We start from the raw sequence: 26998 nt of genomic DNA, 5'->3' as shown, positions 1-26998 counted from the left end.
TTGACACCAGCCTGGCCAACATGGTGTAAACCCCGCCTCTACTAAAAATACAAAAATTAGCCAGGCGTGGTGGTGTGTACCTGTAATTCCAGCTACTCGGGGCACTGAGGCACGAGAATCGCTTGAACCTGGGAGACGGAGGTTGCAGTGAGCTGAGATCACGCCACTGCGCTCCAGCCTGGGTGACAGAGTAAGACTCCCTCTCAAAAAAAAAAAAATTATACCTCATTTCAGAAACATTTCTTAGAGGTCTTTCTTACTTTCTGTTACTTTTTTTTAAAATTTAGTGATAGCATCCTCTTCTTGTTTTATGTATGCAATATTGTCTCATCTCTCCCAGAAGAATATTTTGAGTTTATTTGAAGTTATCTTTTGCTCCCTGCATTGTTTATATTTCTTTTCTCTCTCTCTCTCTCTCTCTCTCTGTTTGTTTTGAACTCCCTCTTCATGTTGGAAGCTTTCCTCAGAAGTCTGGAAAGGAGCCCATGAGGATGACTGATAGGATCGGTGTGTACGGCAGGAGCATGGCCTGTCAGCGAGTAAGCCAGTGGGTGGCCAGGCAGCTCTTTGGTCAGAGGCTTCTAAATGTCAGTATCTGGAGGTCTTCTCTGTGGGTGGTTCTGATTGCCCGGGGGGACCTCCAACTGCCTTCTGGGAGTGTGTATGTCTGGCTGCTCAGTTTCTGGAGCAAGGCCAGGGAAGAGGGCAGTCATTTTGCTGTTTGCTCTGCCCACTGCCACTAAATCTCTCTGCTCTCAGCCTCTGGCAACTCACTCCCTGCACTCAATGCCTGCCATCCCCAGTTCTAGAGCCTCTTTGATTTAATTTCTCCAGAAGCTAAACCTGGAGAGGGAGAGGGCTAGTCACCCGAGAGCACACAGGATGGGGGATGAGAACCCGGAGGTCTTACTGCTCCATATACAGACTTTGTTTTTAGTCCCCTCCCTACTGCAGCACTGAAGCCTCCAATTCCTGGGACTTTCTGGGATTCCAGGAGAGAACTGGCCTGCTTTTCTCTGGGATCTGCTTCTACAGGTTTGGAGCTACAGGTGTTGTCTTATTTCACTAAATATGGATTTCTGCTTCTGTTTCTTGTTCTCTTTTACTTTGAGGGTGATTTAGGAGCAAAAGGGGTGACCATTTTTTTTTTTTTTGAGATGGAGTCTGCTCTGTCGTCCAGGCTGGAGTGCAGTGGCCCAATCTCGGCTCACTGCAACCTCCGCCTCCCGGGTTCGCACCATTCTCCTGCCTCAGCCTCCCGTAGCTGGGATTACAAGCGCCTGCCACCACACCTGGCTAGTTTTCTGTATTTTTAGTGGAGACGGGGTTTCACTGTGTTAGCCAGGATGGTCTCGATCTCTTGACCTTGTGATCCGCCCGCCTCGGCCTCCCAAAGTGCTGGGATTAGAGGCATGAGCCACCGCGCCTGGCCGATGTTTTTACCATAGTAAAAACTAACATCTAGACAGTTTACTAAAATTTTGAATGATTTGCTAACATTGTAAAAATCATGACATTTCATATTATAGACATTAGAATGTTAGGATTGGCTGGGCGCCGGTGGCTCACGCCTATAATCCCAGCACTTTGGGAGGCCAAGGTGGGTGGATCATTTGAGGTCAGAAGTTGATCAGCCTGGACAACATGGTGAAACCCCGTCTCTACTAAAAATACAAAAATTAGCCGGGCGTGGTGGCCCATGCCTGTAGTCCCAGCTACTCGGCAGGCTGAGACAGGAGAATCGCTTGAACCCGGGAGGCGGAGGTTGCAGTGAGCTGAGATCACGCCATTATACTTCAGCCTGGGTGACAGAGCAACACTCTGTCTCAAAAAAGAAAAGTTAGGATTTTCCTGTACTATCAGAACACCTGACAATACCGGGCCCTTATTTCCACGTGTCAGCAGCTGGAGCTCAGGAGCAACTATCCTCTTTATTTTTATATTATTTAATTTTTTTATAGAGACATGGTCTCCCTATGTTGCCCAGGCTGGTCTTGAATTCCTGGGCTCTGGCCGGGTGCAGTGGCTCACGCCTGTAATCCCAGCACTTTGGGACGCCGAGGCGGGCGGATCACAAGGTCAGGAGATCAAGACCATCCTGGCCAACATGGTGAAACCCCGTCTCTACTAAAAATACAAAAATTAGTCGGGCGTGATGGCACACGCTTGTAATCTCAGCTACTCGGGAGGCTGAGGCAGGAGAATCGCTTGAACCTGGGAGTCGGAGATTGCAGTGAGCCGAGATCACCACTGCACTCCAACCTGGCTGGCGACAGAATTAGACTCTGCCTCAAGAAAAAAAAAAAAAAAAAAAAAAAGAATTCCTGGGCTCAAGGGATCCTCCTGCCTTGGGCTCCCAAAGTGCTGGGATTACAAGCATGAGCCACTGTGCACAGTCTGACTGTCCTCTTTATTCATTTATGTATTTATTTATTTTGAGACAGAATCCCACTCTGTTGCCCAGGCTGGAGTGCAGTGGCACAATCTCAGCTCACTGCAACGTCCACCTCCTGGGTTCAAGCGATTCTCCTGCCTCAGCCTCCCGAGTAGCTGGGACTATAGGCACATGCCACCATGCCCGGCTAATTTTTGTATTTTTAGTAGAGACGGGTTTTCGCCCTGTTGGCCAGGCTGGTCTTGAACTCCAGACCTCAAATGATCCGCCTGCCTCAGCCTCCCAAAGTGCTGGGTTTACAGGCATGAGCCACTGCACCTGGAAAAGTTCTTTTTAATGTACAGTTCCAGGAGTTTTGACAAACATATACAGTCAAGTGAACACTACCGCAATCAAGATATAAGACAGGGCCGGGCGCGGTGGCTCATGCCTGTAATCCCAGCACTTTGGGAGGCTGAGGCATGTGGATCATTTGAGGTCAGGAGTTCAAGACCAGCCTGGCCAACATGGTGAAATACACGAATTAGCTGGGCGTGGTGGCATGAGCTTGTAATCCCAGCTACTTGGGAGGCTGAGGCAGAATTGCTTTAACCTGGGACACGGAGGTTGCAGTGAGCCAAGATTGCACCACTGCACTCCAGCCTGGGCGACAGAGTGAGACTCTGTCAAAAAAAAAAAAAAAAGATATAGGACAGGACAGGCACAGTGGCTCACACTTGTAATCCCAGCACTTTGGGAGGCTGAGGGGGGAGGATCGCTGGAGCCCAGGAGTTGGAAACCAACTTGGGCAAGATGGCAAGATCCTGTTGGTACAAAAAAATTAAAAATTAGCCAGGCATGGTGGCATGAGCCTGTGGTCCCAGCCACTCGGGCAGCTGAGGCAGGAGAATCCCTTGAGCCCAGAAGTTCGAGGCTGCAGTGAGCTATGATCGTGCCATTACACTCCAGACTGGATGACAGAACAAGACCTTGTCTCTTAAAAAATATACACACACGCATATACATACATAGACACGTATACAAACACAAACACACACACACACACACACACACCAGTTCCAGTACCCATCGTCACCCCCAGTTCCCACTTGCCCTTTGTAGTCAGTCCCTCTCTGCATTCTAGTCCCTGGCAACTACCCATCTGTTTCTTGTTCCCATTGTTTTGCCTTTTCCGGAACAGAATCCTTCAAAAAGTAGCCTTGAGTGTGGCTTCTCTCACTTAGCATAATACATCTGAGATTCTGCCCTGCTGCTGCATGTATCTGTAGCTCATTCCTTTTTATTGCTGCATAGTATTTCATTTTATGAACGTACCACTGCGTGTTTATACATTTACCAGTTGAAGCCATTTTAGTTGTTTCTAGTTTTTGGTGGTTATGAATAAGACCAGTGTAAATATTTACATCCAGATTTTTGCACTTTTTTAAAATTTAGAGATAGGGTCTTGCTCTGTCGCCCAGGCTGGAGTGCAGTGGCATGATCACAGCTACCTGGGGGACTGAGGTGGGTGGATCACCTGAGCCCGGGAGGTTGAGGCTGCAGTGAGCCGTGATCACACCACTGCACTCCAGCTCAGAGCAAGGCCCTGTCTCAAAAAAAAAAAAAGAAAGAAAGAAAAGGAAAAAGAGGCTGGGTGTGGTGACTCACACCTGTAATCCCAGCACTTTGGGAGGCCGAGATGGGCGGATTGCTTGAGGTCAGGAGTTCGAGACCAGCCTGGCCAATATGGCAAAACCCCATCTCTACCAAAAATATAAAAATTAGCTGGGCGTGGTGGAGTGTGCCTGTAATCCCAGGTTCTCGGGAGGCTGAGGCAGGAGAATCGCTTGAACCAGGGAGTTGGAGGTTGCAGTGAGCCAAGATCGCACCACTGCACTCCAGCCTGGCAATAAGAGCGAGATTCCGTCTCAAAAAAAAAAAAAAAAATTAGCTGGGCATGGTGGCGCATGCCCTATAATCCCAGCTACTTGGGAGGCTGAGGCAGGAGAATTGCTTGAACCCAGGAGGCAGAGGGTGCAGTGAGCTGAGATTGCCCCACTGCACTCTAGCTTGGGCGACAAAGTGAGACTCCATCTCAAAAAAAAAAAAAAAAGAACAACGAAGAAAAAAAGAGAGTTCTTTATATGTTCTGGCTACAAGTCTTTTATCAGATACATGTTTTGCAAAGATCATCTGGCAATCTGCTTGTTTTTTCAATCTCTTATCAATGTCTTTAGCAAAAAGCTTTGCCTAACCCCAAAGTCACAAAGATTTTCTCCTGTTTTCCCCTGGAAGTCTTAGTTTTATGTTTCACATTTTGGTCTATGATCTATTTTGAGTGAATTTTGTGATAAGGTGCAAGGTATAGGTTTAATATTTTTGCACACAGATGTCCAGTTATTCTAGCATCATATGTTGGATGATTGCAGTTATTATTAACACTGTCAGTATTCTCAAGGCTCCTGGGCTCAGGGGTCAGCAATGGTACCTCTGGCTCCAACTCTGCAGTTCAGTCGCCTGCCCCATACGCCCCTCAAACCTAACAGCTGGGGCCTGTTGCAGTTCTTTGCTTGCAGAAGACTTTGTTTCTGGTCTCTTTACCTCTTCTCTCTCTTCCTGAAATCTGCATAAAACAAACCATGAAAGGGCAGGGTGGCCTCGTGGTCTGGCAACGTCCCTTTGAAAATAAACAAGTGCAGAAACTGAAAGGCAGCAGCTACCTCTGGGGACTACTCGAGAAAGAGTTCAGGGCCGGTGCATCCGCCGCGCGTGGCTGTCTTGCCCCAGCTGGGCGGCAGGTCGGATGTGGCAAAACCAAACAGGATCCCGATTGCTTCAGATGTCACCTCTGGCCAGAGACCCCCGATGCCTCTGCAGCAAGCACCTAATTGTATTTATGGGGTACGGGCAGAAGAGTTTCATGGCTGAAAAGCCCTCAACAGTTTGTACAGCCTTCCTCAAAGGTCCAGATCTAACTGGTTCCCACACAACCCTGGGAGGTGGGCAGGTCAGGGACAGTTACCTTTATCTTACACATAAGAAAACTGAGGCACAGAAGGGTGAAGAAATAGATGGGTGTGGGTTTGGAATTTTTTTTTTTTTTTTTTTGAGGCAGAATCTCACTTCATCACCCAGGCTAGAGTGCAGTGACGCAATCTCGCCTCACTGCAACCGCCATCTCCTGGGTTCAAGTGATTCTGGGGCCTCAGCCTCCTGAATAGTTGGGATTACAGGTGCGCACCACCATGCCTGGCCCTAACTTTTTTTTTTTTGAGACAGAGTCTCACTCTTTTTGCCCAGGCTGGAGTGCAGTGGAGCAATCTCAGCTAACTACAACCTCCGCCTCCCAAGTTCAAGCAATTCACCTGCCTCAGCCTCCTAAATAGCTGGGATTACAGGCGCCCACCACCACTCCTGGCTAATTTTTTGTACTTTTAGTAGAGATGGGGTTTCACCATGTTGGCCAGGCTGGTCTCAAAGTCCTGACCTCAGATGATCCACCCACCTTGGCCTCCCAAAGTGCTGGGATCACAGGTGTACCATGCCCGGCCACTCGGCTAACTTTTGTATTTTGGTAGAGACAGAGTTTCACCATGTTGCCCAGGCTGGTTCTCAAACTCCTGACCTCAAGTGATCTGCCTGCCTCAGCCTCCCAAAGTGATGGATTTACAGGCAAAAAGAAGTTTTTTTTTTGTTCGGTGGGGAGGGGGTTAGGCAAACGTTTAGCAAAAAGCTTTCGCTAACCAAAGTCACAAAGATTTTGCCAGGCCATTTTTTTGTTTCGTTTTTTTTTTAGATAAGATCTTGCTCTGTTGCCCAGGCTGGAGTGCAGTGGCACAATTTTGGCTTACTGCACTCTCCAACTCCTGGGCTCAAGCGATCCTCACACCTCAGCCTCCTGGGTAGCTGGGACTAAAGGTGTGTATCACATGCTTGGCTAATTTTTAAATTTTTTTTGGGATGGGGTTTGGCTATGTTGCCCAGGCTGGTCTTGAAATCCTGGCCTCAAGCGATCCTCCAGAATTCATAATTCTCCCCACCACCCTGGCTGGAAATATCTCAAATGTCCAAAGAATGGATAAGCACATTGTGGTACACTCATCCCACGGAATATTCTCCAGCAATGAGAATGAATGACATACAGTCTCACACAGCAGTACTGAATCTCACAAATACCATGTTGAGTGAAAGAAGCTAGACACACAAGAGCACACACTACATCATTCTGTGTATGTAAAGCTAAAAAATAAGCCAAAGAAATCGGTGCAGGTAGAAGTCAGGGTGTCGGCCACACTTCGAGGGGTAGTGACTAGACAGGGATAAGAAGGGGACTGGGGATTAGTGATATTCTGTTTATTGATGCAGATGCAAGTCATGCAGGTGTGTTCAGTGGGTGAAAAATCATTGAGCTACACCCTTACATGTTGATTAAATATTCAGGGCTGGGCACAGTGGCTCATGCCTGTAATCCCTGTAAATGCTTACAGAGGCCAAGGTAGGAGGATCACTTGAAGCCAGGAGTTCAACAGCAGCCTGGGCAACATGGTAAAATCCAGTCTCTACCAAAAAAAAAAAAAAAAAAAAAAAAGGGCCGCGCATGGCGGAATGCACCTGTAGGCTTCCAGCTACTTGGGACCCTCACTCAGGGTCTCACTCTGTCACCCAGGCTGGAGTGCAGTGGCGCCATCAGGGTTCACTGCAGCCTTGACCTCCCAGGCTCAAGTGATTCTCCCACTCAGCCTTTCAAGTTAGCTGGGACCACAGGCCAATTTATGGGCTTACTGGGAAGTAACCCCACTGTAAATTGAAGAGCATCTGTATTCAACTCTGTTGTTGCATGGTGAAAGCAGCCAGGAACAATATGTAAATGAATAAGCATGGCTTGTTCCAATAAAACTTTATTTTAAAAAAATCAGGTGGGCTGGGCATAGTGGCTCAGGCCTGTAATCCCGGCACTTTGGGAGGCCAAGGCGGGCAGATCACCTGAGGTCAGGAGTTCAAGACCAGCCTGGCCAACATGGTGAAACCCCATCTCTACTAAAAATACAAAAATTAGCTGGGCGTGGTGGCAGGCACCTGTAATCCCAGCTACTCAGGAGGCTGAGGCAGGAGAATCGCTTGAGCCCCAGAGGCGGAGGTTGCAGTGAGCCGAGATCATGCCATTGCACTCCAGCCTGGATGACAAGAGCGAGACTTTGTCTCAAAATAAATAAATAAATAAAAATAAAAAAACAGGTAGCCAGATTTGCTGATTCCTGGCCTGCTGGAAGACAGGCTGGGTTCCGAAGCCTCCTTCACTGAGTCCCTGCAGGACCCTGTCCAAGTCGCTTCCCTGGCCTGAGTTATCCTTTCTGTAAATCGGGAGGCTGATTCCCTGCTCTAAACCACCCTTCGGGGTTGCCAGGAGGTCAGATGAGCTCATCACGGAGGGAGCCCAGAGGGAGAAAAGAGCAGGATTAAGAGCCTCTTGAGGTTCTCTGATGCAAAGCAGATTGCTTTTTCTGCCTAGGTCTGGAGAGAGAAAGCCATTGACCTCAAGTCACCCAGTGCATCCATGGGTACCAGTGTCCCAGGGGCATCCTAGAGGGAGACAGGACCCACAGGCTTGGCCGCAGACCCTGGTCCTTGCCATCCCGAGGCCTCTCCCCAACCCCACCTGTGGAGAGAGAACAACAGTGAAGAGAGACTGGAAAACTGAGTCTCTAACAGGCTGTTCCTTTGAGCCCCTGGCCAGAAGCTATTTGGGTCTGTTTTAATGACTGAGCAGCCAGTGCCCAGGGCAGGGACGTGTTGTCTGACCTCCAGCCCTCTGCTCAGTCAGGCACGTCTCTCCTTCCTGTTCCCGGGTGGGCGCATCCCACAAGGCCTGACTCAGGCTGTGCCGCATCTGGAGCATGCTGTGCGGATGACTCCAGTGTCAATCACTTGGGGAAGAGGTGGGTCTTCAGAGAGCAAAGTGTAACTGAGGGCAAACCCAAGGCAACCAGGGGAGGGCCATTCTTCCCTTCCCTGTGCCTCCTGCTCTCGGAACTGGTCTTCTAAAGCTAGAGGTGCGCGAGGATAATAACTATAAAATAGCAGTTAACATTTGAGATTCACTGTGTGCCTGGGCCTGCCTTGAGCGCTTTACACGTATTCATTTAATCCTCACAACAACCCTGGTAGGCATTATTATTGTCCTCATTATACAGATGAGGAAACAGGGACCCAGAGAGGTTAAGATACTTGCCTGAGGTCACACTGCTCAGGAGTGGTGGAGCTCCGCGTGTTGAGGACTACAGAAGAGGATGCCTCATTGGTCCAAAACAGGTCCATATGGAGGAGTGGGGGCTCACGTCGGGTAAGACCCAGTGAAAACTTGCCTAAACCATCAAGGGCATTTATTGGCTCACAAATTGAGACGTTCCGGGGGTTGTGCTGGCTTCAGGGCCGGCTGGGGCCAAGGCCCAAATGCTGCCCTTAGAAAGCACACACTCACCGTCTTTCAGCCCTTTCCTGTGATGGTTTCATTCTCAGGCTGATTCCTCCCCACGTGTAAGGAAAGATGGCCACAGCCACTCCATTTGAGCAACTCCAGATGCTCCAGCAGAATTCTTTCCCACCAGTTCCCACCCAGGGCTGACTCTCACTGGGCTGCTATGGGCCACGTGCTCATCCCTGAGCCAATTGTGGTAGCCAGGAGGCGGGACCATGGTGATTGGATAGGACTGGGTCATATCACCACCCTGGGCTAAGTGCCCGCCCCACTTAAGGACGGGGAGGGAGGGAGACCCCTATGGGAAGAAGAGGGAAACAGAACTGGATAGACAAGGTCAAAGGATGTCTATCTAATCTGAGACTCTGGAGGAAACATGCATTCTTCACCCAGAGGAGCGATAGAGGGAAGTTGGACTTGGCCTTTAGGGTCTGCAGTCCATCCTCGGCCCCACCACGGACCTCTGTGACACTTGTTGCCTTAGCATGGCCTGGAACTTGGACCTGAGCCTTTTCTGCCTACCTCCCCCAGCTGATCCCTTTCCCACCCCACCTCCCTGCCTACTGACCGCCTTCACATTGCCTGGGGCCACATGGGCCCTGTTGCCAACCGCTGGCCCCCCGCTTGGCCTATTGTTCCAGTTCCCTAGTTGCCCGGCTCCCACTTCCAGTCTGGTCTTTTCCAATCCATGCTATTCATTGGCAACACCATCCCTAGTCCAGCAGAGCCTTGGCTCAGAAGCCTCCAGCCCCTCCTTTGTGTCAAAAAGGAAAAACGAGCTGCTTAGCCCCAGGCCTGGTATTCCTCCAGTGTCCTAGGAGATTCCCTGACCCTTGCCATCAGAATGTCTGTATCCCCTAATTCCAAACTGTGGTCGGCATCGTAAAGCACTGCGGCTCACTTACCTGCCTGGGGGTTAAGGGTCAAGTTTGAGTCATCGCTGCCTAGGGCCCAGCACAGCTCAACCAATGCCGGCAAAGCCTACATTTCTAGCTCCTGGGCATGAGACTGCTCCTTGATGAAGGGAGGTGGGAGAGGAAGTTAGGCGGCTCCAGTGAGAGACACAGAGGAAGTTCCACAGAATGACTGTGAGACAGTGATCTAGGCGGGTGGAGACAAGGGAGGCAGGGGGAAAGGGCAGAAGCCTTAGAGAGAGGAGGGAGGGACCGATCCAGAGAGTGAGAGCTGGGAACAGACACGCAGGGAGGGCAGAAAGGAAGCGCGGGAACGTGTGCCAGCTCAGGCATTTTTTTTCCTTAAGCAAACAAGGCCTCTATGATTTGTGTTTTGTCAGGCTGAACTTTCCATATCAGGAGTTTATTTAGCTGAGCAGCCAATTCTGGTAAAAACACTGGAACATGTTAAAAAGGAACGGGTAGGAAGGAGAGTCAGACAGAACAAACAGGAGAGAGCATCTGCCTGCAGCCGGTCCACGCAGTGCAGCTTGGCCTAGACCCGCTGACACAACACCCCCACCCCTGCCAGCTCTCTTTAGGGGCTGACCCAAGGGCCAGGTGACGCTGGACAGAGGTGGGGAAGTCAGCGTGGGGGAAGGAGTCTGGGCTGAAAGGGTCACAGCCCTGGGAAAGGTCTGGTTCCAGCCCAACCATGTAAGTCACTAGAGGCTGTTAGGACAAGTCAAGCCGAGGTTGCAGTCCACCCATGCACTAACGCCCCTGAGTCCCTACCACAATCCAGAGTCCCCTCAGAGACAGGGAAGCTGAAAACATGTCCCTGCTGGAACCCAGGTCTCGGGGTAGGCGGATCAGGTGTGGCTTTTTTTTTTTTGAGACAGAATCTCACTCTGTTGCACCCAGGCTGGAGTGCAGTGGCGTGATCTCAGCTCACTGCAACCTCTGCCTCCCAGGTTCAAGCCATTCTCCTGCCTTGGCCTCCCAACTAGTTGGGATTAAAGGTGTGTGCCACCACACCTGGCTAATTTTTCTATTTTTAGTAGACACGGGGTTTCGCCATGTTGCCCAGGCTGGTCTCGAACTCCTGACCTCAGGTGATCGCCCTTCTCGGCCTCCCAAAGTGCTGGGATTACAAGCATGAGCCACCACGCCTGGCCTCAGGTGTGGCTTTCAACCTGGGGGCCTGACCCGGCATGAGAGCCCTGCAGGGGACTGTCCTGCTGTTTTCTCACCTGCACAAGGTGGCCAACAATACCTGCCCACAGAAAGGAGCAACTAGTGGCTTGCCTGGCATCCAGCTGGTGCTTAATAATGGCAGCTCTTATGACTATGGAAGGCAACAGCTCCTGTGTGCAAGGAACTTGTGTGTCTTGTAGAATCAGGGCCACACGGCCAAGCAAGAGAGGCCGGAGCAGCTGGAGAGGGACACCGTCACCATCGATCTGACCTTACTTAAAATGAGACAAAACCACAAGGTATTCATGATTTGAAATTTTTATTTTCTGAAATGAAACAATTGTACATTGTACAAACCATATCTACTGATGGAATAAATAAGTGAAAAATTATACTGCTGTACAACACACCAAAAAAAAAAAAAATTCTTGAAAGGGGAAAAAATTAGGTAACGGTGAAAAAAGGTCTTTATGCCTCTAACCAGGTTCTTGGCGATAATGAACATTCCAAACCATGACACCGTTTGCTAATGGGAGGTCACCACCCTAGAGGAATCGGTCCACAGCCTTCCGGGTTGTGGGTGTAAGTGCCAGCACTTTGTGGAATGTGTAGCCGCAGCTTCCCCGACTTCACGTTTTGGGGGGAATTAGGTTTGCCCTGGGAGCCCTTGAGGCCACGGGGCCTGATGTCCACGGAAGGCTTTTGCTCGGGATCCCCCGCCCCCTGGCTCGAAGCTGAAAGGTCTTAGATTCTGTGGTGGGGGGAGGGCGAGGGGTGCAGGGTGGGTGGGGGGCAGCGGCTCGAGGAGCGACTGCGCCAGGGAAGGAAGCACATCGGATTTTTGCAGTCTTGTCATTCTGCGTGGAAGGCCTTCTTGGCCAGCGTGGAGTGCAGGGCTGCTGGCGCTTTGCCTGGCGTGGCCGTGGTGGGGCCCAGCTGGTCCCAATCGCCGGCCCATTCCTACCTTCAGGCACTTCAGAGAAATACTAGTGACAGCCTTGGGACGGTGGACGTCGTCTGAGTCCTCACCTGCGCCAACTCCCCTTGCCTGTCCAGAGAGGCTGCGGTCAACGGCAGGGCCACCTACGCCTCTCTGTTTCTGTGGATGTGTGTGTTTCATTCTCCTTCAGCTGTCTTGGTTGTAGCCTCTCGTTTCCCAAAAACAGAGAAGGAAATAAATATCCAAATTCATCTCTCACCAAGATGGAGTTTCGCTGCAAAGAAAAATGTGACTCTAACTCTACGGAATCTGGAGGTAACGCCGCCTCGAGATGCGTGGAGAGGAACCGCATCAGGTAGGTTCTGCGCCAGGATGCAGGACACAGTTCTCAACAAAACTGACTGCCTAAGGGGCAAAATTGATAAGTACAAGGATTTTTTTTTTTAAGACAGAAACCTTTCGGCATTGCTAACTTCAACATTAAGATTTTCAAAGTTGTGGTTTTTTTTTTTTCCCTTATTTCAGGAGACATTTTGCATGAGGTATTTGAAATTCAGGAACATTTTGATTCTTCTCGAAGTGCAGGAAATAGACAGGATCCCTTAAAAAAAAAAATAAGAGCCTCACCCTCAGAAACTCTTAGAAAATGGAATCCAGCAGACACTTCCCATGATGGTCAGGAGAAAGAGCCACACGTCAAAGGTGGTACCTGAATATGCACCAATTAGCCCCCAAAAACAACAAAACCCATGACCCCACCCCACCCCCAGTAACACACAACTCAAAGGGAGTCAGAACTCCAGTGCAGTAAAGAAAGCTTAGGAAAAGGTTTAAGGTCTGAGGAGTTCATATATTAATTAAGAGCAAACCAGGCCTCAGAACCAAACGATTAGGCAGTTCGTCCAAGGGGGCGTCTCCGTTCAGTGAGAGGAAGCTGTTCCAGCGAAGGTGGGGGATGGGAGGGAGGGGAGATTGCGTCTCTCCTTTCTGGAGGGTGTGCAAATCTTTCCAATTCCTCGACGCCTTGTTTGTGGCCTTCGAGGCCCGGCCATCAAGGCCCACTCCCCGGTGGGGACAGACGGCATGTTCTGGGGATGAGACACGGTCCAGCTGTTGGCTCAGAGTCAGAACAGCCTGAGAATAGGAAAGCACGTGGATTCTGACCACTGCGATCCTGCCTCTCCGGGGCACAGGCTGGGGCGTCGGGGGAGGCAAAGGGCAGCAGGTGACCGTGGATTTGAAATCCAAGCGACGTCCTATGAGAGAAAGTTCAGCACCAGCTAATCCTGCCGCCGGCTCCCAGCCTCCCCGGCCCACTCAGTGCCTTAAGGAGACAGCCTTGCAGTCAGCCAGAGAAGCCATTTCGTATTCGGAGGTCTGGGAGAAAGCAGTGATGGGGGTGGTGGTGGTGGGGGCAATAGAGAGGAAGTGCCAGAAAATTCCAAGGGCTTTGCACGTCCATCTGGGCCATGGTGGGCTTGGAGACGCCCAGTCCTAAACGCCCCAAGGAGGGGAGAGCACAGCGAGTGCCCAGCCTGATCCAAGGGGCCGAGCCCTTGGGGACTGTGCCCCAACACCTGCGCGTCCTTGGGCCCTGGTGCCTGGTGCTTGGGGCGTGCCTAAGGTCCCCCTGCACCTGCAAACCAGGTGGGCTAAGGAGCTCCTTCGCTCCACCCTGCCTGCTCCGATGAAGTCCTGGGGCAGGGAGGAGAGCGGTGAGTAGGGTGGCAGCCGCCGCCCGAACCAAACCAAGAGGGCACTTTGCAGAGGGGGATGTAAGAACCACCAGGATACATGCCAGAGGTCACCTCAAGGGCACAAGGCACAAAAAAAGAAAGCGGAAGGAATCGGTTGAACAGTGGAAAGCCCCGCCAAAAAGCGTTCCTGATCGGTACCACCCTCCGATAGCTTATATCGTTACATAGAGAAGTGGGGGGAAAATACAGCAGCAACACAAATGGAATCCTGGCTTCCGAGACAGTGTGCAGACACTCCTGAGCTGTCAGCCCCGCCTGCCTCCCCAAGGACAGTCCCTTAAAGGTTTGAGTGTTTTGCTTCACAGCAGAGTTCTTCAGTGTCTGAGAAGTGACGCCGTTCTGGGTCTTCTTGGATTTGCACTTGGTAAACTTGAAACGTTAGTAGTTCTGTTCGCACCCAAGAGGAATCGCTGGGGCAAAGTTGCTCTAGAATTAATTGCTGATGTACCTTCCATGGAACATGGATCGGAGGCTTTAAAGCATCGTCTACATCTCTTCGGAGTTTTGTTGAGAGGCCTCCAGTTTCATCTTTTTAGAGGGTGGCACTCCTTCCAAATCCTTGGGGAGAGGAGAAAAGGGGAACACAGGTTAATGGGCCAGGAGAGCAAGTTAGGCCAGGCGTGAGGCCGAAGGTCAGCCAAGGAAGGAACCGAGCGGGGGCGGCTTTGTGGTTCAGACCAGCAGTTCCAGACCCGAGGCCCAAGCGTGGACTCCAGAGAGTTTGAGGACCTATGGAGACCCTCACACCCAAACTCTTCCTGGAGCTATGGAGCGCGGTGTCCCCTGGCCCCTGCCTGACCCTATCACATGCCAATGGCTGGTAACTCGGGAGCATTTCCTACACTGCTGCCTTGGACCCTAGGCTCTCCCCACTCATTCAGACTGGACCAGAAGTTGCTGTTATCAATCTTCCCATCTATGATTCATTGCTAGGGTGATTACTTGTGATTATTGTTTCAAGTTCACCTTTCCAAGTTCTTGTTTTTGTTGTTGAGATGGAGTCTCACTCTGTTGCCAGGCTGGAGTGCAGTGGGGCAATCTTGGCTCACTGCAACCTCCGCCTCCTGGGTTCAAGTGATTCTCCTGCCTCAGCCTCCCAAGTAGCTGTGATTACAGGCACGCGCCACCATGCCCGGCTAATTTTTGTATTTTTAGTAGAGACGGGGTTTCACCATGTGGGCCAGGCTGGTCTCAAACTCCTGACCTCAGGTTATCTGCCCACCTCGGCCTCCCAGAGTGCTGGGATTACAGGTGCACACCACCATGCCTGGCTAATTTTTTGTATTTTTGGTAGAGACAGGGTTTCACCATGTCTCCATGTTTCACCATGTTGGCCAGGCTGGTCTCAAACTCCTGACCTCAGGTGATCTGCCCGCCTCACCTTCCCAGAGTGCTAGGATTACAGGCGTGAGCCACCGCACCAGCTTTTCCAAGTTCTTTTTATAATTTTTTTTAGAGACAGAGTCTTGCTTTGCTGCTCAGGCTGGGGTGTAGTGGTCATCATAGCTCACTGCAGCCTCGACTTCCTGGTCTCAGAGGATCCCCCTGCCTCAGCCTCCTGAGTAGCTGGGACTATATGCATGTGCCACCATGCCCGGATGATTTTTTTTTTTTAAGTTTTTTGTAGAGATGGGGTCTTGCTATGCTGCCCAGGCTGGTCTTGAACTCCCGGGCTCAAGGGATCCTCCTGCCTCAGCCTCCCAAACTGCTTGGATTACAGGTGTGAGCCATGATGCCTGGCAATCTCTGCAAGTTCTAGGCCATCTCCCAGAGGCCCAGACCCACTCTGCCATGTAGACTCCTGCTCCTGCAGGGCTGGGCACAGTGCCTGGTCTGGGCTGGACTCTCAGCATTTGCTGGGTATACACATATGTGTGTGTGTTATTCTGGGGGAAAGGGTCTGTAGTTGTCACTGAATTCCCATGAAACCCAGGACACCAGAAAAGGTTTAACACTCACTCATCCATCACACAATTGTCTTGGGCCTCTCAAACCTAACCTGTCACCTGAGACCAAACTCCTGACCGCAGCCATCCTAACTGGTGCTCCCCATCAGCCTGGGAGAAAGACCCAGGCCTGGACACCCCCTGAAGCCACCTCTCCGCCCGCACCCCCCCTCCAACCCGGCCTCTGGCCTGGCTGATGGAGCAGCCTGCTTGTGGCCAACAGGATGGCCCCAGCAACCTTCCTCCAATAGAAACCACAACTTACAAATACAAAGCATTCCACAACTTTCCTACTGACTTCTGAACAAACCCAGTTCCTCACCAGGACCAAGAAGGCCCTAGTGACAAGCCTGGCCCACTTCTTCCCTCATCAGACCATTCTCTTCCTCACCCACCAGGTTCTGGCCTCCCCGGCCACCCTGGCCTCTCTTTCGTTCTTCAAGCTGGCTCCTGTCTTGAGGTCTCTGCACCTTGGTCTGCCCCTGCCTGGAGAGCTCACCGTCCCAGCCTGGGCCCCCTTCATGTCCGGCTCACAGCCAGCCCCTCCCTGCTGACGCCAGCCACAGCACCCTCTACCCATGGCCTGTTCTGCTTCTTCACGTCACCCTGTTTCACTCTCTCACGGCACTTAGTGGGACTCTGTGACCTACTTGTGTCTGCTTATCCTGAGCCCATTGTCAGCCCCACTGTGGCAGGCAGGGATTAGGTATAGCCCCTGGTCCATGGTGGGTTCTCAGAGATAAATGTTGCAGAGGAGAGGCCTCGAGTAGGACATGCGATGGACTTGCAGAGACAGTGACATGAGCCCCTTCTGGGGGACCCTGGGAGCAGGGATCGCAGGGAGTCAGGAAGGCTACCTTTCTGTCCTTTCTCTCCTTTTTTCTGTATTTATTTTTTTGAGACAGGGTCTTGCTCTGTCACCCAGGCTGGAGGGCAATGGTAGGATCATAGCCCACTGCAGCCTTGAACTCTCAGGCTCAAGCAATCCTCCCGCCTCAGCCTCCAGAGTAGCTGGGACTATAGGAGCGCACCACCATGCCTGGCTAATTTTCTTTTTCTTTTTGTTGGAGAGACGGGGTCTTGCTATGTTGCCCAGGCTGGTCTCGAACTCCTGGCCTCAAGTGATCCACCTGCCTCAGCCTCCCAAAGTGCTGGGCTTACAAATGTGAGCCACTGCACCCGGCCAAAAACGTATTGCTTGAAATGTCAGGCTGTCTGCTTTACTGGAGTACATCCTCCATGTCACTCACACACCTAGCTCTGTGGACAATATGTGTGTCGGTGTGCCTGTGAAAATGGTGGAAGAGGCCCAATTTTAGGTCTGGGTCTCCTGGAAGCAAGAGTGTGGGGTAGTGGGGGCGATGTGAGAATGGGGGACTCCTGGCATTTCCAGGTACTGCGGGGGAGCATTGGATACTCTCAGGGTATGGATCAAAGTTTCAAGCTGAGCTTTTCTTCTCTGAGATCAAGAGGCCCAGAGATCCCAGCCGACAACTTTGGTCTTAATATAAATCACCAGGCTTTGGTTTCTACTGTTTTTAACCAGATGGGCTCATGCTACGCCTGCGGATCTGCAGCTTGCTTTTCTCACTGCACGCTGCAAGAATGTTTATCAGAACCTGGAAGGCACAACCATGCTCTTCTAGATGGCTGCGCCCTAGTCTGTCTCAGACAAGACCCCAGATTTCCCTAAGCAGCCCCTTAGAGCTAGGGCATGTGGAGGGGGTTCCATGGGGTGAGGTTCTGGAAAGGGACCTGCCAATCAAAGGGTTTAAAGATTTTGAAGTTGCCAGGCGCAGTGGCTCACGCCTGTAATCCCAGCACTTTGAGAGGCTGAGGGAGTGGATCATTTGAGGTCAGGAATTTGAGACCAGCCTGGCCAACATGGTGAAACCCATCTCTACTAAAAATACAAAAATCAGCCAGGCAGAGTGGTAGGCACCTGTAATCCCACCTACTTGGGAGGCTGAGGCAGGAGAATTGCTTGAATCCAGGAGGTGGAGGTTGGAGTGAGCCGGGATCATGCCACTGCACTCCAGCCTGGGTGACAAAGTGAGACTCTGTCTCGAAGGAAAAAAAGTCTAGAGGATTTACAGTGAAAAATCCTAATAGTGGTCATGGCCAATGACACCTCTGCATCTTGTGTCCGCTCCATGCTAAGTGTTTTACCCAAGTTCTCCCATCGAATCCTCACGGTGGCCCTAAGACAGTTCCGTGATCCCATTTTGGGAGCTGGGATTCAAACTTGGGCCCGACTCTGGGAGGTTTGCTCCTAACCACCGGGCCCCACTGCACCTGTGCTGACTCATTCAGACCAGATTCCAACACAGAGTGATGCCCTGGAGAGGGGCCCATGCAGTGCAAGTGGGGCCAGCAGCACCGCTCCGTCGGAGGCCCCACCACTTAGGTTTCTGAAGTCTTGTCTTCCCAGCTCTAAAGGTCACCGATCTGGGGATCACTGAGATGAGGCAATGCCTGTGTGAACCTGAACAGACAAAACGTAGCAGCCGAGGCTGGGTTCAAGGTCCCTTCATCCTCCTCCGACCCAGAGGCTCCTTGAGGGCAGAGGCCACAAGTCTCATTATCCCTCGGCCCCAGAGCCCAAGGCAGAGCCCAGGACTGTGTTCATGGACATAGCCCAATGGACAAATGACAGTTCCAATGGTCCAACGACAAAACAACAAAACACAATGACGAAACACCTTTCAACGTACCCCCGACAACCCAATGGGCTCCCGGCCGATCTGGCTGCCCCTCTGAGACCTCGAGCGAGGTACCTGAGAGATTGCAGACGTCTCTGCGGCCAGACCCGAGTCTCCAGACGGCTGCCGATCTACTTTCTCTGAGCTGTTCATCGAATGTTCCATCGAGGACTGTGAATTCTGCTCATCAGAAGCATCTGAGGGAAGAGCAAGACGACAGGAGCTGTTTTCAGACACGTGAGAGGCGGGGCCGGTGGGGCCAAATACTGAAAATACCTTGAATCGGGTAGTTTTGGGGCCAGTGGTCTTTGAAGGCTACAATGAGCTGGGGGGCTGGAGGGCTGGGGAGTCTCCTGTTGATTTTTCAGTGGCGCTGTTTCCAGCAGCCAGGTCACACACGGACCCTGGCGTCTGCAACCCTCTCCTGCACACTTAGCTGCTGAGGGCCCTGGGAGGCGACTGGAGGAGGCTGCAGTCTCTGTGCTGCGTGCACCCAGCACCCCCTGGCGGCCGCAGTGCGCACCAACAATCATGGCTGTCAATTCCTCTCTCCCGCAGCCAAGGTGGCTTCGTCCTAACCTTTTGTAAACATTTCTCTTAATAATATGGGTATTTGGCCGGGCACGGTGGCTCAGGCCTGTAATCCCAGCACTTTGGGAGGCCGAGGCTGGCGGATCACGAGGTCAGGAGATCGAGACCATCCTGGCTAACACGGTGAAACCCCGTCTCTACTAAAAATACAAAAAATTAGCCGGGCGTGGTGGCGGCGGGCGCCTGTAGTCCCACCTACTCGGGAGGCTGAGGCAGGAGGATGGCGTGAACCCGGGAGGCGGAGGTTGCAGTGAGCCGAGATCGCGCCACTGCACTAAAGCTTGGGTGACAGAGCGAAACTCCGTCTCAAAATAATAACAATAATAAGGGTATTTTTCCGATTGCCAGAGCAATGACTGACCATTGCAGGAAACAGAAAAGTACAGAAAAAATAAAGTTAAAAATCACCTGTCACCACCCAGGGACCACCCCACTAATGTTTTAGAGGATTAATTCCCGTCTTTCCAGTTTCCCCTCCCTCCATGCGTACAAATTTTCTCCTCTTCCCAAATGGGGGTCATGTGGTATTTCGGAGGAATTCTTCATGTCTTTAAAGGTTCTTTAAATATCACAGCTTACAAGATGGCCGCACACCATTCCATCAAGGAATCGCCAGTAGAATGAACCCAGTTATTCGGGTGATTTCTCATGCCTGTCTTCCTGCTGCTCCACCCCAAGTTTTCTTTAGCAGAAGGAAGGTGCAGGCTGGATGGGGCGGGGGGGTGGGTGCAGCTTGGGAGGAGGCAGTGGCGGCAGCGGTTTTTCCTAAAGCTTACTGGACACAGAGCCAGACACTCGTGAAGGGGCAGCAAAAATCCTACCCGAGGCCCGGACACCATGGTACCCTGATGTTAAAAAGCACACACGAAACGAATCCTAGAGAATGCCTGTGCGACCAAGACTTCCCTGCTGGGGTTTCTGAGGCAGAGTAATAACAAAGGGGAAAATAACCCATGCTTAAGTTTAAAAGCAAGCAGGCAAGATGGGAAGAAGAAGGAGACAGTGCAGGGCCTGGGACAGGCCGGGACACAGAGGGCGGGGGAACGGGACAGCAAGACCCTCCTTCCCAGGGAGTCTGAGCAGGGTTGACACTTACTTCTCAGACTAGGAGCCCTGGCCGGGCGCGGCGGCTCACGCCTATAATCCCACCACTTTGGGAGGCCAAGGCAGGCGGATCACTTGAAGTCAGGAGTTCAAGACCAGCCTGGCCAACATGGTGAAACCCCGTCTCTACTAAAAATACAAAAATTAGCCAGGCATGGTGGTGCACGCCTGTAATCCCAGTTACTCGGAGGCTGAGGCAGGAGAATCGTTTGAACCCAGGACCACCTCCTGGATTGGGAGCCGAGATCATGCCACGGCACTCCAGCCTGGGCGACAGAGTAAGACTGTCTCAAAAAACGACAACAACAACAAAAACAGGCTAGGCACGGTGGCTCACGCCTGTAATCCCAGCACTTTGGGAGGCTAAGGTGGGTGGATCGGCTGAGGTCAGGAGTTTGAGACCAGCCTGGCCAACATGGCAAACCCCCCCCCCCCCCCGACTAAAAAAATACAAAAGTAAGCCAGGCGTGGTGTCGCGCGCCTGTAATCCCAGCTACTTGGGAGGCTGAGGCAGGAGAATCCCATAAACCCAGGAGGCGGAGGTTCCAGTGAGACAAGATCATGCCACTGCACTCCAGCCTGGGTGACAGAGTGAGACTCTGTCTCCAAAACAAAACAAAACAAAAAACAAAACAATAAAAAAACAAAAAGAAAGAAAACATTATGCTGAGTGAGAAGTCAGACACAAAAGGCCACAGAGTATATGATTCCATTTATATGAAAAGTCCAGAATAGGCAAACCCATGGAGACAGAAAGTTTCGTGGTTGCCCTGGGCAGGGACCCAGTGTTGCTGGGGAAGGGAGAAGTGGAGAATGATTGCGGCTGGGTGCAAGGTTTCTTTCTGGGGTGATTAAAATGTTTTGGAACCAGATAGAAGTGGTGGTTGCACAACCTTGTGAGTGTACTGTCAGTGAATTATTCACTTAACCTGGTTAATTTTATGTGAATTTCATCTCAATAAAAAGAAAAATCACCCAGGTGTAGTTGCTCACACCTGTACTCCCAACACTTTGGAAGGCCAAGGTGGGAAGATAGCTTGAGCTCAGGAGTTTGTGAACAGCCTGGGAAATATAGTGAAATCTCATCTCTAGTTTATTTATTTTTTTTTTTTAAAAGAGAGGGGCCAGGCCAGGCCAGGCGTGGTGGCTCACACCTGTAATCCCAGCATTTTGGGAGACCAAGGCAGGCAGATCACTTGAGGTCAAGAGTTCAAGACCAGCCTGGCCAACATGGTGAAACCCCGTCTCTACTAAAAATATAAAAAGTAGCTGGGTGTGATGGCAGGTGCCTGTAATCTCAGCTACTCGGGTGGCTGAGGCAGGAGAATCGCTTGACCCCAGGAGGCGGAGGTTGCAGTGAGCGGAAAATCGCACCACTGCACTCCAGCCTGGGTGACAGAGTGAGACTTTGTCTCAAAAAAAAAAAAAAAAAAAAAAAAAGAGAGAGAGAGAAATCATGTTATTGTTATACTCTATTTCATAATAAATGTTTGCTTTAACATAAATATTTAAAGTTTTTACTAGAAAAGTTGCCCATCTGTGGCTTTGGATCTGACCACAGCTCCTTTTCTGCCGGGCACAGCAGGCTCTGCAGAGTGGTGGGGGAGGTGGGTGCCCCAGATGTAGGCTTAGAAATCATGAAGGTGGCCAGTCACCCAGAGACTCACGCTGACCCGTGCTGGGCAGAGAGGTGCCCGGCAGAGGCCTCTCCTGAGAGCCAGGCCCTAGAGCTTGGTGGGAACTGGCCTTGGAACCCACAGAGCATTCAGGAGCTCAGGGCAGCAGCCGATTCTCTGGGCGCTGCGGTGCTGGAACTCACCCAGGGAAAATTATTTTCCTGGGACCTAAATTTAGTCCAGGGAGCTTGGACAGGAATTATGTCATTCCCTGAACTCACACAGCAGTAAACAAGTTCAAAGCAAGGTCAACAGCTGGTGGCCGACCTGCCCCATCCCGGCAGACAGCACGCACCCACCTGGGAAGGCCACACGGGTCTGTCCTTGTGCCCTTCCCACGGGCAGCTCGGGCAGCAGGCAGGTGGATCCTGGCTGAGCAGTGCAGGGCAGCCGTGCAGGCCCAGGGGCCTGGGGTGGCCAGAGAGGACCCTGGTGGAGGTCCCACCTGCGTCCCACCAATTTAGCATCTGGTGGTAGTGGCGAGAAAGTAGCAACCAACTGGACACACTAACTCAAAACATAATTCCTGCTGCGGAGCTCAAATCGGGCTTCTAGAGCAAAGGAGACACACACCCCCAACGTGGGAGAAACAAGGCCACGGCCAGAAAGAAACCAGGATGGGAAAGAAGCAGGAACGCGGCTGCACACGAAGCCCATGTCCGTCCTTGGGAACCCCGCAATCGCTCCCCCGACAGAAGGGTGGACAAGGCAACCCTGCAGCTCCCAGACCCTCCTCCTAAGCCCCAGCTCCAGGCCGAGCACTTTGCTGGCGTTCTCGCCCCCTTCGCTCCCGGCGAGGGAGGCAGCTTCTGTTTATCCCATTTTATTTTCTGCTGAGACAGGGTCTCGCTCTGTCGCCCAAGCTGGAGTGCAGTGGCACGATCATGGCTCACTGCAGCCTCCACCTCCCAGGCTCAAGTGATCCTCCCACCTTAGCCTCCCGAGTAGCTGGTCATCCCATTTTACAAACAAGGAAGTAGGAGGGTGTGTGGAGGTGATGTTCCTGCCCAGGCCCACACAGCTGGTGAGTGTCCCCCTGTATGTGACCACAGCCCCCGTCTCACCCCCTCTGCCTTCTACCTGCAGAACCACCTTCCAGGGAAGCCTGGTGGGCATGCTGGGATCACGGGGGCCATGAGGGGAGATGAGAGGGGACGACACATACTGTACGCAGCGAAGGCTATGGCAAAGCCGCTAGGGCACTGGCTCTCAGCAGGGGGTGATTTTACCCCTGCCCCTATCCTGGGGACATTGGTTAACAACTGGAAACATTTTGGTGGAGGCCAGAGATGCTGCTCAATGTCCCACAATGCACAGGATGGCCCCCCCCCCACAATAAAGAAGGATCCAAGACTGGTTGTGGTGGCTCACGCCTGTAATCCCAACACTTTGGAGGCTGAGGCGGGTGGATCACCTGAGGTCAGGAGTTTGAGACCAGCCTGGCCAACATGGTGAAACCCTGTCTCTGCTAAAAATACAAAAATGAACCAGGTGTGATGGCAAATGCACGCCTGTAGTCCCAGCTACTCGTGAGGCTGAGGCAGAAGAATCAGTTGAACCCGGGAGGCAGAGAGGTTGCAATGAGCCCAGATTGCATCACTGCACTCCGCCCTGGGTGACACAGCGAGACTCCGTCTCAGAAAAACAAAAAGAATGATCCGTCTCCAAATGCCAGGGGTGCTGAGGCTGAGAACCCCTGTGCTAGTGGTGTCATCCTACCCATGACTTCTCGGGGGGAAAAGCCAGGCAGAACCTGTGACATTCTGAGTGCATATGCAGCCTCTGACTAAACGGTTCCACTTCCAGGGACGCAGCCTGCAGAGCCACCTGCACCTGGGCAAAAGTGAAGAGAGATGAGGGTACCAGACCCCCCGCAGGACTGCATGTGCAAAACAAAAGACGGGAACACCTAAGTGACCATCACTAAGGGACTGTTCACATAAATTATGGCACAGTCACAGACTTGAACGGGAAGTATTATAGTTGATATGGAGAATGGCATGAACCTGCAATCTCTGCCTCCTGGGTTCAAGCTAGTCTCCTGTCTCAGCCTCCCAAGAAACTGGCATTACAAGTATGCACCACCACACCGGGCTATTTTTTGTATTTTTAGTAGAGATGGGGTTTCACTATGTTGGCCAGGCTGGTCTCAAACTCCTGACCTCAGGTGATCCACCTGCCTCGGCCTCCCAAAGTGCTGGGAATACAGGTATGAGCCACCACGCCCGGCCTCTCCAGCATATTTGAAGACCCAATTGCTTATCCCATTGAGCGAGGGAGGCCTTCCAAATTCCTGTTATTTCCAGCTTTCTTTCCCAACACTCCCTATTTTGAGCTCTGTGGTCCTGCCACACCACACTTTCTTACTTTCTTCTTCTTTTTCTTCTCTTTTTTTTTTTTTTTTTAAGACAGGGTCATGCTCTGTCATCCAGGCTGGAGTGCAGTGGGAGGACCATGCTCACTGCAACCTCCACCTCCCAGGCTCAAGCAATCTTCCTACCTTAGTATCCTGAGCAGCTGGGACTACAGGCACATGCCTATAGTTTTATGTATTTTTTTTTGTGTGTGTGTATATGTATATATATATATATATATTTTTTTTTTTTTTTTTTTACACGTTTCACTCTCATTGCCCAGGCTGGAGTGCAGTGGCATGATCTCGGCTCACTAAAACCTCCGCCTCCTGGGTTCAAGCAATTCTCCTGCCTCAGCTTCCCGAGTAGCTGGGATTACAGGTGCTCGCCACCACACCCAGCTAATTTTTTGTATTTTTAGTAGAAACAGTGTTTTGCCATGCTGGGCAGGCTGGTCTCGAACTCCTGACCTCAGGTGATCTGCCCACCTCAGCCTCCCAAAGTGCTGGGATTACAGGTGTGACCCACTGTGCCCGGCCTAATTTTTGTATTTTTTGTAGAGATGGGATTTCACCATGTTGCCCAGGCTGGTCTCAAACTCCTGGGCTCAAGTGATCTTCGCCTCAGCCTCCCAAGTAGCTGGGACCACAGGCATGTACTACCACATCCAGCTAATTTTAAAATTTTTTGTAAAGACAGGGTTTCACCACGTTGCTCAGGCTGGTCTCGAGCTCCTGAGCTCAAGCGATTCACCCACCTCGACCTCCCAAAGTGCTAGGATTACAGCCATGAGCCACTGCACCCGGCCAGCCTGCCTCCTTTCTAATACCAGGTCAAGACAGCAACTCCTCCAAGAAGCATTCCTGGAGGCCCCTCCAATCCCTTTTTAACTGTGTCCATCACAGCGGTGACTATGAACTCAAAAGCCCCATGAGGGGCCAGGCAATACCACAAATGAGTCAAGTGGGCTGTTGGATTCAGACATAGATAAGCTTCACAAATAAAATGTTAAGAAATACTCTCTTCAAATATGTACTTTCCCAGTTTTCTTAAAAAAAAAAAATAGCTTTCTCAGCCTAGGCGCAGTGGCTCACGCCTATAATCCCAGCACTTTGGGAGGCCGAGGCGGGCGGATCACCTGAGGTTGGGAGTTCAAGACCAGCCTGACCAACATGGAGAAACCCTGTCGCTACTAAAAATAAAAAGTTAGCCGGGTGTGGGGGTGCATGCCTGTAATCCCAGCTACTCTGGAGGCTGAGGCAGGAGAATCGCTTGAACGCGGGAGGTGGAGGTTGTGGTGAACCAAGGTTGCACCATTGCACTCCAGCCTGGGCAACAAGAGCGAAACTCCGTCTCAAAAAAAAAAAAAAAAAAAAAGCCTTCTCCAGCCTTTTTCTTTTCCACTTTTCCACCTCCACTTCTGATAGAGAAATAGCTTCAAGAAACATCTTGGCTGGGTGTGGTGGTTCACATCTGTAATCTCAGCACTTTGGGAGGCCAAAGTGGGAGGATCACTGGAGCCCAGAAGTTCAAGACCAGCCTGGGCAACATAGCAACACCCCGTCTGTACAAAAAACTATAAACATTACCAGGGCATGGTGGTGCATGTCTGTAGTCCCAGTTACTTGGGAGACTGAGGCAGGAGGATCACCTGAGCCCAGCAGTTCAAGGCTGCAGTGAGCGGAGATTGTACCACTGCACTCCAGCCTGGGCAACAGTGAGATCCCATTTCTTTTTTTCTTTTTTTTTTTCTGAGACGGATTCTCGCTCTGTCGCCCAGGCTGGAGTGCAGTGGTGCGATCTCGGCTCAACACAAGCTCCGCCTCCCGAGTTCACACCATTCTCCTGCCTCAGCCTCCCGAGTAGCCGGGACTACAGGCGCCCAATACCATGCCCGGATAATTTTTTTGTATTTTTAGTAGAGACGGGGTTTCACCATGTTAGCCAGGATGGTCTCAATCTCCTGACCTTGTGATCCGCCCGCCTCAGCCTCCCAAAGTGCGGGGATTACAGGCATGAGCCACTGCGCCCGGCCAAGACCCCATTTCAAACAAACAAACAAAAACCAAGAAATAGTCCAGGCGTGGTGGTTCACACCTGTAATCCCAGCACTTTAGGAGGCCGAGGTGGGTGGATCCCGAGGTCAGGAGATTGAGAACAGCCTGGCCAACATGGTGAAACCCCATCTCTACTAAAAATACAAAAATTAGCCGGGCGTGGTGGTGCACGCCTGTAAACCCAGCTACTCACGAGTCTGAGGCAAGAGAATCACTTGAACCTGGGAGGCGGAGGTTGCAGTGAGCCGAGATCACGTCATTGCACTCCAGCCTGGGCGACAGAGCAAGACTCCGTCTGGAAAAAAAAAAAAAAAACCCAAGAAATATCTTAATTTTCCTTTTAAAATCTACAATAAGAAAAACAACAGTGGCCATGAGGTAACACAAGGCAAGCGCCCTTTGGCCTTGGTTTAGAGACAACAGGGAAGGGTCTCTTCTGCTTCAGCTGGTAACTGCCCCAGGGAAGAGCAGGCCCGGTATTGTCAAAGCTGATTCTTCAAAAGAAGCTAGAAATCAATCCTGTTTTAAGCTCAATTTTTAAATTTTGACATCACATTCAAATTTAAAAAATGATACTGCAGGGTTCTGTATAGCCAGATTCTCACACCACGGGCTGGATAGAGTCTGTCTGCATCTCTGCCAATGAGTCCTTCGTTCCAGTGTCTGTCTCCCCTGCTGACCTATGGGTTCTTGGGGTGCAGGAAGCAGAGTGCAGCTATGACTGGGGCCCTGGCGCCAGCCCAGAGCCTCCTTGCACAGGGGTGCGGATCAGCTCTGCAGCAGGGGACAGCCTTTCTCCTAGAACCACACTGGCTGCTCCCAGGACACACACGCCCTGAGCCCTGGGGTGGCCCTAGCTGCAGGCTGGTCACATTTGCCATTCCACATTCCATGCTCGCCAGCTCCTCATGGGTGTGCAAGGCGCTCCAGAC

The 26998-nt window shown here is 51.5% G+C and overlaps 1 protein-coding gene and 1 long non-coding RNA gene across 3 annotated transcripts in view, besides 7 other annotated features; both read right to left on the bottom strand.

Annotated features, from left to right (window-relative positions):
- Positions 938 to 1782: an enhancer, noted in NCBI's record as "H3K4me1 hESC enhancer chr12:122509410-122510254 (GRCh37/hg19 assembly coordinates)". NCBI's record gives its function as "activates a minimal SCP1, AML or CMV promoter by ChIP-STARR-seq in naive H9 embryonic stem cells {active_cell/tissue: H9 hESC(naive)}" and the evidence as "EXISTENCE:reporter gene assay evidence [ECO:0000049][PMID:30033119]".
- On the bottom strand, positions 4726 to 9996 carry LINC02985 (long intergenic non-protein coding RNA 2985). The gene is made up of 4 exons (NR_135044.1): positions 9755 to 9996; positions 8604 to 8736; positions 5095 to 5258; positions 4726 to 4997 (listed from the first exon to the last, which is right to left on the bottom strand). It is a non-coding gene; the product is annotated as a long intergenic non-protein coding RNA 2985 (long non-coding RNA).
- Positions 8559 to 8608: an enhancer, noted in NCBI's record as "active region_7199". NCBI's record gives its function as "activates an Ori minimal core promoter by ATAC-STARR-seq in GM12878 lymphoblastoid cells {active_cell/tissue: GM12878}" and the evidence as "EXISTENCE:reporter gene assay evidence [ECO:0000049][PMID:35858748]".
- Positions 8749 to 8978: an enhancer, noted in NCBI's record as "active region_7198". NCBI's record gives its function as "activates an Ori minimal core promoter by ATAC-STARR-seq in GM12878 lymphoblastoid cells {active_cell/tissue: GM12878}" and the evidence as "EXISTENCE:reporter gene assay evidence [ECO:0000049][PMID:35858748]".
- Positions 8929 to 9223: an enhancer, noted in NCBI's record as "tiled region #8907; HepG2 Activating DNase unmatched - State 1:Tss, and K562 Activating DNase unmatched - State 1:Tss". NCBI's record gives its function as "activates a minimal TATA promoter and a strong SV40 promoter by Sharpr-MPRA in HepG2 and K562 cells {active_cell/tissue: HepG2 | K562}" and the evidence as "EXISTENCE:reporter gene assay evidence [ECO:0000049][PMID:27701403]".
- Positions 9019 to 9168: a silencer, noted in NCBI's record as "silent region_5007". NCBI's record gives its function as "represses an Ori minimal core promoter by ATAC-STARR-seq in GM12878 lymphoblastoid cells {active_cell/tissue: GM12878}" and the evidence as "EXISTENCE:reporter gene assay evidence [ECO:0000049][PMID:35858748]".
- Positions 10089 to 10383: a silencer, noted in NCBI's record as "tiled region #9922; HepG2 Repressive DNase matched - State 1:Tss". NCBI's record gives its function as "represses a minimal TATA promoter and a strong SV40 promoter by Sharpr-MPRA in HepG2 cells {active_cell/tissue: HepG2}" and the evidence as "EXISTENCE:reporter gene assay evidence [ECO:0000049][PMID:27701403]".
- Positions 11242 to 26998, bottom strand: part of BCL7A (BAF chromatin remodeling complex subunit BCL7A) — a 40161-nt gene continuing 24404 nt past the window's right edge. The window contains exons 5-6 of one of the 2 annotated variants that reach the window (NM_020993.5): positions 18297 to 18481; positions 11242 to 14194 (exon numbers count right to left, since the gene is read on the bottom strand). In NM_020993.5, coding sequence (NP_066273.1) covers positions 14123 to 14194; positions 18297 to 18481 — 257 coding nt within the window. In that variant the 3' untranslated portion in view covers positions 11242 to 14122. The remainder of the gene's footprint in view (positions 14195 to 18296; positions 18482 to 26998) is intronic. The other variant, NM_001024808.3, reaches the window with a different exon arrangement.
- Positions 17894 to 18508: an enhancer, noted in NCBI's record as "H3K27ac-H3K4me1 hESC enhancer chr12:122492684-122493298 (GRCh37/hg19 assembly coordinates)". NCBI's record gives its function as "activates a minimal SCP1, AML or CMV promoter by ChIP-STARR-seq in primed H9 embryonic stem cells {active_cell/tissue: H9 hESC(primed)}" and the evidence as "EXISTENCE:reporter gene assay evidence [ECO:0000049][PMID:30033119]".

The sequence above is a fragment of the Homo sapiens genome, chromosome 12 (genome assembly GCF_000001405.40).
Source record: "Homo sapiens chromosome 12, GRCh38.p14 Primary Assembly".
NCBI classification, from domain to species: Eukaryota; Metazoa; Chordata; class Mammalia; order Primates; family Hominidae; genus Homo; species Homo sapiens.
This window is presented reverse-complemented; position numbering and strand designations above follow the sequence as displayed.